General features: G+C 44.5%; 1 protein-coding gene and 1 pseudogene across 6 annotated transcripts in view; one reads left to right on the top strand and one right to left on the bottom strand.

The window, feature by feature from the left end:
• The window catches only part of IFT46 (intraflagellar transport 46), a 32,356-nt gene that overhangs the window by 13,697 nt on the left and 4,323 nt on the right, over positions 1 to 14,336 (top strand). For 3 of the 6 annotated variants that reach the window (XM_011542905.4, XM_017018017.2, NM_020153.4), the window contains 8 exons: positions 3,338 to 3,417; positions 5,312 to 5,464; positions 6,157 to 6,296; positions 7,880 to 7,954; positions 8,119 to 8,212; positions 8,615 to 8,743; positions 10,867 to 10,988; positions 11,350 to 11,416. In XM_011542905.4, coding sequence (XP_011541207.1) covers positions 3,373 to 3,417; positions 5,312 to 5,464; positions 6,157 to 6,296; positions 7,880 to 7,954; positions 8,119 to 8,212; positions 8,615 to 8,743; positions 10,867 to 10,988; positions 11,350 to 11,416 — 825 coding nt within the window. In that variant the 5' untranslated portion in view covers positions 3,338 to 3,372. The remainder of the gene's footprint in view (positions 1 to 3,337; positions 3,418 to 5,311; positions 5,465 to 6,156; positions 6,297 to 7,879; positions 7,955 to 8,118; positions 8,213 to 8,614; positions 8,744 to 10,866; positions 10,989 to 11,349; positions 11,417 to 14,336) is intronic. The other 3 variants (XM_011542906.4, XM_017018018.3, NM_001168618.2) reach the window with 1 other exon arrangement.
• Positions 1,564 to 2,585, bottom strand: RPL5P30 (ribosomal protein L5 pseudogene 30; annotated as a pseudogene).

The raw sequence follows: 14,336 nt of genomic DNA, 5'->3' as shown, positions 1-14,336 counted from the left end.
TGTATTTATCCTTTTGTGGCTGACTTACTTCACTTATTGTGATGTTCTTAAGGTTCATCTGTGTTGTTGAATGTAGACTTTCTTTTTAAGGCTGAGTAATATTCCATTGCATGTATATTGCACTTTTTTTTTTTTTTGAGACTGAATTTCGCTCTGTCACCCAGGCTGGAGTGCAGTGGCACGATCTTGGCTCACTGCAACCTACGCCTCCCGGGTTCAAGCGACTCTCCTGCCTCAGCCTCCTGAGTAGTTGGGACTACAGGTGCACACCACCACACCCAGCTAATTTTTTGTATTCTTAGTAGAGACGGGGTTTCACCATGTTGGCCCGGATGGCCTCGATCTCCTGACCTTGTGATCCACCCACCTCGGCCTCCCAAAGTGTTGGGATTACAGGCGTGAGCCACCGCACCAAGCCTATGCCACGTTTTTTAATTCATTCATTTGTTAATGGACACTCGGGTTGTTTTCATATTTTGGCTATTGTGAATAACACTGCTATGAACAGAGGTGTACAAGTGTCCATTTGAGTCCCTGTTTTCAATTCTTTGGGACCTAGCCACCTAGGTTTTTGACTTGAGCGTGTTTATGCTCTTGACAGCTGTGGATATTATAATTTGTTTTTAATTTGGGCTAATTTAGTAAATAAAAAAAGGGTTTAATTTGCATTTATTTGATATAGAAATCATTTATCATGTTTTCATTCCAGTTAATGCCTTACATCTAATTATACTTTTATTTTAATTTAATTTTTTATTTATAGAGACAGAGTTTTGCTCTGTCACCCAGGCTGGAGTGCGGTAGCATGATCACGGTTCACTGCAGCCTCGACCTCCTGGGCTCATGCAGTCCTCCTGCTTCAGAACCCCCGGTAGCTGGGACTACCAGCCCATGCCCCCATGTCCAGCTAATTTTTTTTTTTTTTGAGATGGAGTCTTGCTCTGTCGCCCAGGCTGGAGTGCAATGGCGTGATCTCGGCCCACTGCAACCTCAACCTCCCAGGTTCAAGCGATTCTCCTGCCTCAGCCTCCTGAGTAGCTGGGATTATAGGAGTGTGCCACCACACCTGGCTAATTTTTTTGTATTTTTAGTAGAGACGGGGTTTCACCATGTTGGCCAGGCTGGTCTCGAACTCCTGACCTCAGGTGATCCACCCGCCTCAGCCTCCCAAAGTGCTGGGATTACAGGCAGGAGCCACTGTGCCCGGCCTAATTTTTGTATTTTTTGTAGAGACAGGGTTTCACCGTGTTGCCCAGGCTGGTCTTGAACTCCTAGGCTCAAGCAATCTGCCTGCCTCCGCCTCTTAGAGTGCTGGGATTACAGGTGTGAGCCACTGCGCCTGTCATTAATTATCCTTTTAATTGTTCAGAATATTTAAAAATTGCTCTTATCTTTGCATACTGATTCGGATTCAAACTTGTGACTATTATTTGCCAGGCCCTGGGTCAGTTCCTTGCACATAAATTTTTTCACTTGATCCTTATAAGAGGCCTGGGTTAGAAATATTAGTGACCCCATTTAGAGGTGGGAATACTGAGACTCAAAGAGGTTAAATCTTTTTTTTTTCTGTCCATATGTTTATCGTCTTTATCTGAAAAATCTTTATAGAAAATTGTTTGGTTTAGCTCTCAGCAGCCTGCTCCTGAGCTCTGAGGGAGCTTGCCTTCTTTTAAGCTACCTGATGTTTCTTCTGAGCAAGGGACATTTTGGGACAGTTCCACCTATTCTTTTTAACTTCTTTCTTGGGCCTCTTTTCATAGACTGGATTCTCTCATATAGCAGCATGAGCTTTCTTATACATCTCTTCCATCATGTCTGGAGTTACGCTCTTCTTTATGCATTGAGAGAACTGGTTCTTGTAAGCATCTTCATCTTCTTCTGTTAAGTAGTGCATGTAATCTGCAACATTCTGGCCCATGATGTGCTTCTGGTGTACTTCTGCATTAAATTCCTTGCTTTCAGAATCATAACTAGGGAATCGTTTGGTACTGTGAGGGACAGACAAGCCTCCATCCACAGCTCCCTTCAGGGTGCCAAAAACTTTATTGCCAGTGGTAGTTCTGGCAAGACCTGTATCCAAATAGCAGGTAAAGGCACCTGGCTGACCATCAATGCTTTCCACATTGTATTCATTGCCAGTCTCCTCCACTTGGCCTTCATAGATCTTGTCCATGCCAAACCTATTGGGAAGCCTGCGGGCCAGCAGCAGGCCAGTACAATAAGTTGCAGCATAATTTGTCAGGCCAACCTTCACACCACATTTTGGCAGTTTGTGTGCATATGCTGCGCAGACTATATCCCCCTCTATACGGGCATAAGCAGTCTGACAAATGATATCTCTGTTTGTTACACGAACTATCATCTTATATTTGGGTGTGTTGTATTTATTTTTATCCTGTATCACCAAGCATTTCTGAGGATAGTAACCAGTTTTACCCTCTCGTCGTCTTCTAAATTTCACTTGGTATCTCTTAAAGTAGGCTTTATTCTTAACAACTTTAATAAACCCCATTCTGCGGAACAGAGACCCGCGTTTGCGGCTCGACAGAGACCTGCCGGCCCAGCAGTGCTAGGGGGTGAAAAGGCAAAATCATTTTAAGTAATTTTTCTTCAAACCCACTCTTAGTATGAATTCAGCACTCTGTACTTTACTAGTTATTAACCTAATTTGACTAATGTGTAAACTAAGGGCAGAGTGTATATTTTTCTCTTTCTTTTCTTTTCCCCCTCCCCTCCCCTCCCCTCCCCTCCCCTCCCTTCCCCTCCCATTCCGTTTCTGACAGGCTCTCACTCTGTTGCCCGGGCTGGAGTGCAGCAGCATGAACACTGGACACTGCTCACTGCAGCCTCGAACTCCTGGGTTTAAGCAGACCTCCTGCGTCAGCCTCCCGAGTAGCTGGGACCACAGGCGCATGGCATCACACCCAGCTAATTTTTTTTCTTTTTTTTTTTTTGTAGATGGGATCTTGCCATATTGTCCAGTCTAGGCTCAAACTCCTGGGCTCAAGTGATCCTCCTGCCTCCCCTTCCCAAAGTGTTGGGATTATAGGCATGAGCCACTGCCCCTGGCCAGAGTTTATATTATTTATGTAATGGCAGATAATTTGAATAGTATAATGTCTAACCCAATGCCTTAAGCACAGTAATGTTTAGTAAATATATCTTGAATTGAACTGGCAGAGCCATGACTAGAATTCAGTCTCCTGTCTCTTTAGCCAGATGTTCCAATAAACCTTGTTTTATAAAATGGTTAGAGCATAAAATATTAAAAACTAAAAAATACTTGTTTTTAAAAATCATTTTAACAATAATCTAAAGGAAAAACTTTTTTTCTAAGGACTTCCTCGTTCTGCCCATCTTCCTAACAAGGCTATGGCTGATAACAGCAGTGATGAGTGTGAAGAGGAAAATAACAAGGTACAGTAAAACTCACAGCTTCTTGTAGAATTTCTGCTTTGGGTTTTTAGTAGTTAGAGATGACACCAGTTCAACGGTAAACATTTCTTGAACACTCACCTCCAGGGGTTAGGGACCTTTGAGCTCATGGAGGAAAATCAGTTACAAAGAGCCTTGAGATTTTGACCCTTCTTCAGGAATAAAGCCTACTACTACAATTGACTTTGGTGAGGAATTTCACATAATGTAGGCCAGTGTTTCACAAACTTTCCTGATCATAATACTCAACTGAGGTACTTATTTTTAAATATACGGATTCCCAGTCCCAGCCCAGAATCTCAAAAGTAAAAGCCTGGGAATTTATATTTTTTAGGAAGCAGTCCAGGTAATTTTATGCTAAAGCGAGTTTGAAATTATCAGTCTAGGCATTTTTTCATTGTCAATACTTGTGATACTGCCAGTATTTTGTGAAGGAGATTTTAATTTTGAGGTCTTAAGACCCAGATGTTGGCTGCTGTTATTCTGTGTACCTAGAGAATCACCCTGCTTCTGAAAGAAACATGGCAAGAGGCCCACCTCTCTAGAAACATATAGGACCTTAGAGTTGCACATATGATTTCTTAAAAACCGTTTATGTTGGCCGGGTGTGGTGGCGCACTCCTGTAATCCCAGCACTTTGGGAGGCCGAGGCGGGCGGATCACCTGAGGTCAGGAGTTTGAGACCAGACTGTCCAACATGGCGAAACCCCATCTCTAATAAAAATACAAAAAATTAGCTGGGCGTGGTGGCGGGTGCCTGTAATCCCAGCTACTTGGGAGGCCTCCCAAGGTGCTGGGATTACAGGCACAAGCCACTGTGCCCAGCCTGTTTTTTTTGTTTGTTTTTTTTTTTTGAGACAGAGTCTTGCTCTTTCACCCAGGCTGGAGTGCAGTGATCTTGACTCACTGCAACCTCTGCCTCTTGGGTTCAAGCAATTCTCATGCCTCAGCCTCCCGAGTAGCTGGGGGATCACAGGCCTGCACCAACTCGCCTGGCTAATTTTTGTATTTTTAGTAGAGATGGGGTTTTGCCATGTTGGCCACACTGGTCTTGAACTCCTGACCTCAGGTGATCCTCCTGCCTTGGCCTTCCAAAGTGCTGGGATTACAGGTGTGAGCCACTGTACCCAGCCTGATGGCTGCATTTTAATGGTTTTTGTTTTTGTTTTGAGACAGAGTCATCTCGCTCTGTTGCCTAAGCTGGAGTGTAGTGGCATGACCTCAGCTCGCTGCAACCTCCGCCTCCAGGGTTCAAGCAATTCTCCTGCCTCAGCCTCCTGAGTAGCTGGGATTACAGGCGTGCGCCACCACGCCTGGCTAATTTTTGTATTTTTGGTAGAGATGGGGTTTCACCATGTTGGTCAGGCTGGTCTCGAACTCCTGACCACATGATCCGCCTGCTTCGGTCTCCCAAAGTGCTGGGATTACAGGCATGAGCCACCACCCCGGGCTGACAATATTCTTAAAAGTTCCCTCTGCCAAAACTGCTTCCTATGTGACTAAGGATAATTTTGGCAAATCTTGAATTGAGAAAGAATGCTCTAGAAAGTTCTTATCAGTCATATACTAATAAGGCATAGTCACTGAATAAATTCTGCAACTGTGTTTCATTATCTGCCATGCATATTACAGCTTAGTTAGAATATACTTTATGTATAATAAATTTGTTATTCTTAGAGCAAAATGTGACTAAAAGCAGTTTTTGGTGTCCTGTAACGTGTCACAATTTTGTGTGCCAATAGCTGCTTTACCATAAAAACAAATTAATTTTAAACAACTGGAATCAAACGTGTTAACCTCAGTATAAGCCATACGGTATATAGAAACCAAGTTTTGAAAACCTACTTTTAAAGGGGGCCAATTGGTCATCCTTCAGGTCCTAAGGGAGGGCATGCCACAGGCTCCAGGCCACAGAGGCAAAGACATGGACCCTGTTCCACCTGCCCCTGCAAGTCTCAAGTGCCACCAGACCCCTTCTCATGTACTTGAGAGGGTGGGATGGTACAGAGAGAGCCAGAAGCACAGAAAGGTAGGTTATAATGTCAAGAACAAAAGAGCTGTTTATCTTGAGAGAGAATGTGTAGTCATTTTATGTAATTTATGGGGTAAGGGAAGGGAAATACAGATAGGTCAGATACTCCATGAAGAGAAATATCACTGAACAAAAATGGAAAGTCCATAGTCCCTGGGACTGCTGGTTTGATGGGCACAAGGTTGATTTTGAACTTTCTTCTTTTGATAGTTTCAAGCAGCTTATGCTGGGCAGTCTTGCAAATTAAGTATTAGATTTCCTCTCTATGGTCTTTGTGAGTATTAAGACCCCTAAAATTTCTATTCCCACTTCATATTCCCTGATTTTCTTCCAAAATAACTAGAGTTGCCATCCTCTTCTTTGAAAGTCCATAGCTTTTCGGGCCGAAGCTGTCTAAAGTGTACACAGGGCCCTGAAGATCTAAGTAATATGTACAATAGATAAAATTAGAATTTATACCCCAGCCTCAAGTAGAGAAATGGAATAGGGTTCTAGAAAGTGGAGTCCCCATTTGTAGCTGAGCAGGGGCAGAAGAAGGCTCTCAAGCCCCTTCTGGGAAGTGCCCCCTTCTCTTTCTGGTGACGAGGTGCCAGGTGGTTGGTGTATTGGTTAGAGCAATAGAGAACTGGGCATAGGTACATTTGATTTTTTTACTTGAAGCTTTCTATGCCTGCCCTGCCCTATCACAGGAGAAGAAGAAGACCTCACAGTTGACACCTCAACGGGGCTTTAGTGAAAATGAGGATGACGATGATGATGATGATGATTCATCTGAAACTGATTCTGATTCTGATGATGATGATGAAGAGCATGGAGCCCCTCTGGAAGGGTGAGGAAAGAACACCCAAGCCAAGGGTGCTCTTCAGAATACCTCCTTCAAAACACTGGAGTGGGAGGACGTCAGTTAGAAGTGAAATTCCAGCATCTCTTTTGATCTCCTGTATTTAGGATTTTCAGATGTCTCAGAAACCCAACATAATAATGAGTTTTCCTCCCTTTCTGACTCCACTACCTTATCCAGTCCTATAGTATCACTTTACTATCTGAAACGTTTGTGGGCTTGGGGGTTACATGAGATTTTGCTGAGTAAATCAAAAAGGTGGTGGCCAGGCATGGTGGCTCAAGCCTGTAATCCTAGCATTTTGGGAGGCTGAGGTAGGAGGATTGCTTAAGGCTGGGCGTTCAAGACCAACCTGGGCAACATAGCAAGACCTCGTCTCTACAAAATTTTATTTTTTTTTTGAGACAGAGTCTTGCTCTATCGCCCAGGCTGGAGTGCAGTGGCGTGATCTCGGCTCACTGCAAGCTCCGCCTCCTGGGTTCACGCCATTCTCCTGCCTCAGCCTCCTGAGTAGCTGGGACTACAGGTGCCCGCCACCACGCCCAGCTAATTTTTTTTGTATTTTTAATAGAGACGAGGTTTCACCGTGTTAGCCAGGATGGTCTCGATCTCCTGACCTCGTGATCCGCTCGCCTCGGCCTCCCAAAGTGCTGGGATTACAGGCGTGAGCCACTGCACCCGGCCGCCCAAAAATTTTTTAAAAATTAGCTGAGCATGCTGGTGTGTGCCCATAGTCCCGGCTGCTCGGGAGGCTGAGGCAGGAGAATCACTTGAGCTCAGGAGTTTGAGACTGCAATGAGCTATGATCGGGTCACTGCACTCCAACCTGGTCAACAGAGTGAGACCCTGTCTCAAAAATAAATTAATTAAATTTAAAAAATAATAATAACACTGCTAAAAACACTTCTATAATTTTTTTTTTCTGGTGCAAACTATTTTCATGTCAGATATTTAAATCTCTTTTTTTTTTTGAGACAGAGTCTTGCTTTGTCACCCAGGCTGGAGTGCAGTGGTGCGATCTTGGCTCACTGCAACCTCTGCCTTCCAGGTTCAAGTGATTCTTCTGCCTCAGCCTCCTGAGTAGCTGCGACTACAGGTGTGCACCACCACACCTGGCTAATTTTTGTATTTTCAGTAGAGATAGGGTTTCAACCATGTTGGCCAGGCTGGTCTTGAACTCCTGACCTCAGGTGATCCGCCTGCCTCGGCCTCCAAAAGTGCTGGGATTACAGGTGTGAGCCACCACGCCCAGCCCTAAAATCTCTTGTTCTACCTTTTCTTGTCATCCTTTCATTAAAAAAAAGGAAAACCATTTATGCTACATTTTAACATCAAAAAAATATTATGTTTTGGATTTTCTGCACCTCTGTCCTTCAGAGTCAGAGATAATTGAGAGTTAAGTACAATCAACCTTAAAGTTGCCTTGCAAGCCACCAGGAAAGGCAGATATTGGAGAGGCAGAAGCTAGCTTCAGGATCATGTCCCTATAGTCAGTAACACACCAGCACCTAGGACCCTGCCACCTCTGCTCTTCTCTGGCCACCTCGAACAAACTGTTTTCCTTTTCCCAGGGCCTATGACCCTGCAGACTATGAGCATTTGCCAGTTTCTGCTGAAATTAAGGAACTCTTCCAGTACATCAGTAGGTGAGTACTAGGACCTCCCACCATACCCCACTATCCCTACCTTGCCCCAAACCTTTCCTATCTCTAGTCTGAAACAGGGCCATTCCCCTTAGATTTTTTTTTAGCCTGAATAGTAAAGTAACTTTTTCTGACTGTCTCCACCTTCCCTTGGCAATATCTCCTAGGTACACACCTCAGTTGATTGACCTGGACCACAAACTGAAGCCTTTCATTCCTGATTTTATCCCAGCTGTCGGGGATATTGATGCATTCTTAAAGGTATAGTCAGTACATCCTGAAAATGACTCCTTAAGTGTTTCTTCTGATGCCCCTGTTACTCTTAACAGTTTCCCTAATTTCTTTGACTAGCATTGGCTAGTCATGTTCATTTCATTGGAGTTCTTAACCTTGCTCTCAACTCCAAATTACACTCATTGCTCTTAAGTAATACTTAATATCTCATTACACATTAACAGTTTGTCATGTATTTGCTTCCTAATTATCTATGACAACAGGTTCATATTTAAGCTGCTATGGATAATATTTTTTTTCTGGATAGTATTGCGTACAGCATGATAAGCATGCTTTTAATACTAGTAATAATGATGAACCAGAAGTGTTCTTCCTCTTAACTTATTGGAAACATTTTCCTTTCTGCTTTCTTACCTTTTTCTTAACCAGGTCCCACGTCCTGATGGAAAGCCTGACAACCTTGGCCTATTGGTATTGGATGAACCTTCTACAAAGCAGTCAGACCCTACGGTGCTCTCACTCTGGTTAACAGAGAATTCTAAGCAGCACAACATCACAGTAAGATACTAGCTTAGTATAGGCCCCAGCTGGAGAGGGCCAAGAGTGGAGGAGGCCTTGCTGGCACTCATACAGTTGACTTACTGCCTGTCAAAAGAGATGGGCCTGGGTGCGGTGGCTCACGCCTGTAATCCCAGCACTTTGGGAGGCCGAGGCGGGTGGATCATGAGGTCAGGAGATCGAGACCATCCTGGCTTAACATGGTGAAACCCCGTCTCTACTAAAAATACAAAAAAAAAAATTAGCAGGGTGTAGTGGCGGGCGCCTGTAGTCCCAGCTACTCAGGAGGCTGAGACAGGAGAATGGTGTGAACCCGGGAGGCGGAGCTTGCAGTGAGTCGAGATCATGCCACTGCACTCCAGCCTGGGCAACAGAGCTAGACTCCATCTCAAAAAAAAAAAAAAAAGAGATGGTTATTGCTTTGGGCCAGCTCTATTTTTAAATGACAGCTTTATTTATATATAACTTAAATACCAGCAAGTTTAGCCTTTTAAATTGTACAACTTATTAGTTTTAATATAATCACAGTTTTGTAGCCATCACCACTACCTAATTTAGAATATTTCATCACCTCAAAAAGAAACTTCATACCCATTACTATTCACTCCTCATTCTCCCACTTCCTCCTAGACCCTGGTAATTATTTCATTCCTTTGTTATGGCTGAATAATATCCACTGTATGGATTTACCAGATTTGCTTTATTCATTCTCTAGTTCTGTCCACTCTTATTAATAATGGTGCTTTGAATATTTGTATACAAGTTTTTGTGTAGGTATATATTGTTATTCTGTTGGGTATATACATAGGAGTAGAATTGCTGGGCCATATGGAAACTCTATGTTTAGCCATTTGAAGAACTACCAAACTGTTTTCCAAAGTGGCTGTACCATTTTACATTCCCACCAGCAATGAATGAGAGTTCCAGTTTCTCTACATCCTCATCAATACTTTTTGTTTGTATTTTTCATTCTAACCATCCTAGTAGGTGTGAAATGGTATTTCTTTTTTTTTTTTTTTGAGACAGTTTTACTCTTGTTGCCCAGGCTGGAGTGCAATGGCGTGATCTTGGCTCACCACAACCTCCACCTCCCGGGTTCAAGCGATTTTCCTGCCTCAGCCTCCCGAGTAGCTGGGATTACAGGCATGCACCACCACGCCCAGCTGATTTTGTATTTTTAGTAGAGTCAGGGTTTCTCCATGTTGGTCAGGCTGGTCTCGAACTCCTGACCTCAGGTGATCCACCCACCTCGGCCTCCCAAAGTGCTGGGATTATAGGTGTGAGCCACCAAGCCCAGCCTAAATGGTATTTCATTATGGTCAGTCCTGCCATTTTGACCTGCTGCCTTTCCATGGCTTCAGCAAATTATTTTTTTTTGAGACAGGGTCTCGCTCTGTTACCCAGGCTGGAGTGCAGTGGTGTGATTGGGGCTCACTGTAGCCTCGATCTGCAAGCAATCCTGCTACCTCAGCCTCCCAAGTAGCCGGGACAGACCACAGGTGTGTGCCATCATGCCTGGCTAGGTTTTTTTTTTTTTTAATTTTTATTTTATAGAGGTAGGGTCTCCCTATGTTGTCTAGGCTGACCTCAAGTGATCCTCCTGCCTCAGCCTCCCAAAGTGCTAGGACTGCAGGTGTGAGCCACTGCACTTGGCTTTTTTTTTTTTTAAAGACAGGATCTCGCTCTTGCCTAGGCTGGAGTGCAGTGGCACAGTCGTAGCTCACTGCAACCTCAAACGCCTGGGCTCAAGTGATCCTCTTGCCTCAGCCTCTCAAGTAGCTGAGACCACAGGCACACACCACCATGCCTGGCTAATTTTTAAATTTTTAGTACAGACAAGGTCTCACTATGTTGCCCAGGCTGGTCTTGAACTCCTAGCCTCAACTGATCCTCCCACCTCAGACTGCCAAAGTGCTAGGATTACAAGTGTGACCGCCATGCCTGGCCTGGCTGCAGCAGATTTTATCAGGGTTTTCTATCCCCTTCATTTGGCTACTGTTTCACGTGGCAGCAGCTGTCATCAGCAAGCTCGAATATGAAACAGCAGCAGATATAATGAGACACTGTAAAAACAAGAGAGCTACTTCAGTGCCATCAGCTAGGCTTTCTCCTTACTTTCCTAGCAACATATGAAAGTAAAAAGCCTAGAAGATGCAGAAAAGAATCCCAAAGCCATTGACACGTGGATTGAGAGCATCTCTGAATTACACCGTTCTAAGCCCCCTGCGACTGTGCACTACACCAGGTAAGAAATACCACATTCTTTGCAACAGTAACACATAGTAACCTTCACTACCTGTGAACTGTTGCTCCTGAGAAGAGGCCCAGAGGCTGGGAACATATTTGATCAACCTGAGGTCCTGTGGATCCTGGCAACTACTGGCTGAGATTGTAGACATAAAGATTGTAATTTCTCTAGTATTACTTAGCTACCTCCTCCAAACCCCAGGCCCTGGGTAACTTTGGTATGCCCAGTCTAGGTTCTCCTGAAGCCTTCCTGATGTGCCAGATTGAAGACCTCTCCTTCATCCTAGAATATGCTGATCCAGAGGTTGCTGATGTTATCAGTTCACGTTTCTTGTTCATATTTACCTTTATACTTTTAGGCCCATGCCCGACATTGACACGCTGATGCAGGAATGGTCCCCGGAGTTTGAAGAGCTTTTGGGCAAGGTGAGTGGAAGGTAGCAGGAGGTAGGGTAAGAAAGTACAGTATTCGCTCCAGGGCCCAGTGTTTTTTCTCTTCCTCCATTATTATTATTGGTAACTTTTTTTTTTTTTTTTTTTTGAGACAGGGTCTTGCTCTTCCCAGGCTGCAGTGCAGTGGCATGATCATGGCTCACTGCAGCCTCTACCTCCCGGGCTCAAGTGACCCTCCCACCTCAGCCTTACCAGTAGCTGGGACCACAGGCATGCACCACCACACTCAGCCATTTTTTTAATTTTTGGTAGAGACGAGGTCTTGCTTTGTTGCCCAGGCTGTTCTCAAACTCCTGGGCTCAAGCAGTCCTCCTTCCTCAGCCTCCCAAAGTGCTGGGATTACAGGCATGAGCCACTCCACCCAGCGATCATTAATTTTTTTTGTTGAGATGGAGTCTCTCTCTGTCGCCCAGGCTGGAGTGCAGTGGCATGATCTCAGCTCACGGCAACCTCCACCTCCCAATTCAAGTGATTCTCCTGCCTCAGCCTCTCGAGTAGCTGGGATTACAGGTGCCTGCCACCATGCCACCATGCTAATTTTTGTATTTTAGTAGAGAAAGGGTTTCACCATGTTGGCCAGGCTGGTCTCGAATTCCTGACCTCAAGTGATCCGTCTGCCTTGGCCTCCCAAAGTGCTAGGATTTCATTAACTTTTTAATGGTAACACAGGAAACCCATGTATATGTGGTAATTTGATATATAAGAAAGATAGTTTTTTTTTTTTTTTTTTGAGGCAGTCTCACTCTGTTGCCCAAGCTGGAGTGCAGTGGCATGATCTTGGCTCACTGCAACCTCCGTACCCCCCGCAGGTTCAAGCAATTCTCCTGCCTCAGCCTCCCAAGTAGCTGGGATTACAGGCATCTGCCACTGTGCCTGGCTAATTTTTGTATTTTTAGTAGAGACGGGGTTTCACCATCTTGGCCAGGCTGGTCTTGAACTCCTGACCTCGTGATCCACCCGCCTCTGCCTCCCAAAGTGCTGGGATTATAGGCGTGAGCCACCGCGCCTGGCCAAGAAAGATAGTTTTTTAAATGATTGGTGATAGAATTAGGGTATAATGAGACAATTATTTGAAAAAAATTAAAGTAGGTTTCTGCCTCAACTGTATACATATGTGAATTTCAGATGAATTAAAGAGTTAATGTGGGCCGGGCACAGTGGCTCATGCCTGTAGTCCTATAATTTTGGGAGGCTGAGGCGTGAAGATTGCTTGAGCTCAGGACCAGCGTGGGCAGCATAAGGAAACTCTGTTTCCAAAAATAAACAAATAAATAAAAGAAGGGAAAAAAAGAGTTATTGTAAAAATAAAGCCATGTAAGTAATATAATAAAATATAGGAGATACAGAAGGAGCATGACTGAAAAAATAAATGAAATAAAATATAGGAGAAATTTAATTATCTCTTTTTAAAAAATTCAAGTGTCTTATAACTTAGGGAAATTTAATTCTATTAGGATAGTTAGGTGTTTCTCAGTGTAATAAGAAACTTAAAAGTCATATTGAGGCCGGGTGCAGTGGCTTAGGCCAGGCGCGGTGGCTCACACCTGTAATCCCAGCACTTTGGGAGGCCGAGGCAGGTAGATCACCTGAGGTCAAGAGTTTGAGACCAGCCTGGCCAACATGGCGAAACCCCATCTCTACTAAAAAAATACAAAAATTAGCTGGGTGTGGTGGTGTGTGCCTGTAATCCCAGCTACTTGGGAGGCTGAGGCAGGAGAATCACTTGAACCCAGGGGCAGAGGAGGGCACGGAGGTTGCAGTGAGCAAAGATTGAGCAACTACACTCCAGCCTGGGTAATAGAGCGAGACTCCATCTCAAAAAAAAAAAAAAAAGTCATAATGGAGTGGGAGGCTGAGATGGGAGGATTGCTTGAGCCCAGGAGTTTGAGACCAGCCTGGGCAACATAGACCCATCTCTGTTAAAACCAAAAGAAAAGGCCAGCCACAGTGGCTCACGCCTGTAATCCCAGCACTTTGGGAGGCCGAGGCGGGCTGATCATGAGGTCAAGAGATCGAGACCATCCTAGCCAACATGGTGAAACCCCATCTCTACTAGAAATACAATAATTAGCCAGGCGTGGTGGTGCACACCTGTAGTCTCAGCTACTCGGGAGGCTGAGCCAGGAGAATCGCTTGAACCTGGGAGGCAGAGATTGCAGTGAGCCGAGATCGTGCCACTGCACTCCAGCCTGGTGACAGAGCGAGACTCTGTCTCAAAAAAAAAAAAAAAAAGTCATAATGGAGAAAATGTGACAGTTTAAACTCATAGAAATGAAAGGTTCTACATACCAATAGATACCATAAACAAAGTTAAAAGACAGTAGCAGTCTGAGAAAAAATATTTTATATATGTATGTAATAGAAAAAATTACTGTCCAAGCAAAGAGCTCTTATATATCAATAAGGAAAGGAAACTGGGCCAGGCACGGTAGCTCATACCTGTAAATCCCAGCACTTTGGGAGGCTGAGGTGGGACGATCACTTGAGGCCAGGAGTTCAGGACCGGTCTGGGCAACAATAGGAGACTCTTCTCTACAAAAAAAAAAGAAAAGAAAAAAGGAGCTGGACATGGTGGCTCATACCTATAATCCCAGCACTTTGGGAGGCTGAGGTGGGCGCATCACCTGAGGCCAGGAGTTCAAGACCAGCCTGGCCAACATGGCAAAACCCCGTTTCTACTAAAAAAATTAAAAAAATAGCTGGGTGTTGTGGCAGGCACCTGTAATCCCAGCTACTCAGGAGGCTGAGGCAGGAGAATCTCTTGAACCCAGGAGGGGTGCAGATGTTGCAGTGAGCCAAGATTGCATCACTGCACTCCAGCCTGGGTAATAGAGCAAGACTCCATCTCCAAAAAAAAAAAAAAAAGTCATAATGGAGTGGGAGGCCAAAATGG

This window comes from Homo sapiens, chromosome 11 (assembly GCF_000001405.40).
Source record: "Homo sapiens chromosome 11, GRCh38.p14 Primary Assembly".
In the NCBI taxonomy this organism is placed as follows: Eukaryota; Metazoa; Chordata; class Mammalia; order Primates; family Hominidae; genus Homo; species Homo sapiens.
This window is presented reverse-complemented; position numbering and strand designations above follow the sequence as displayed.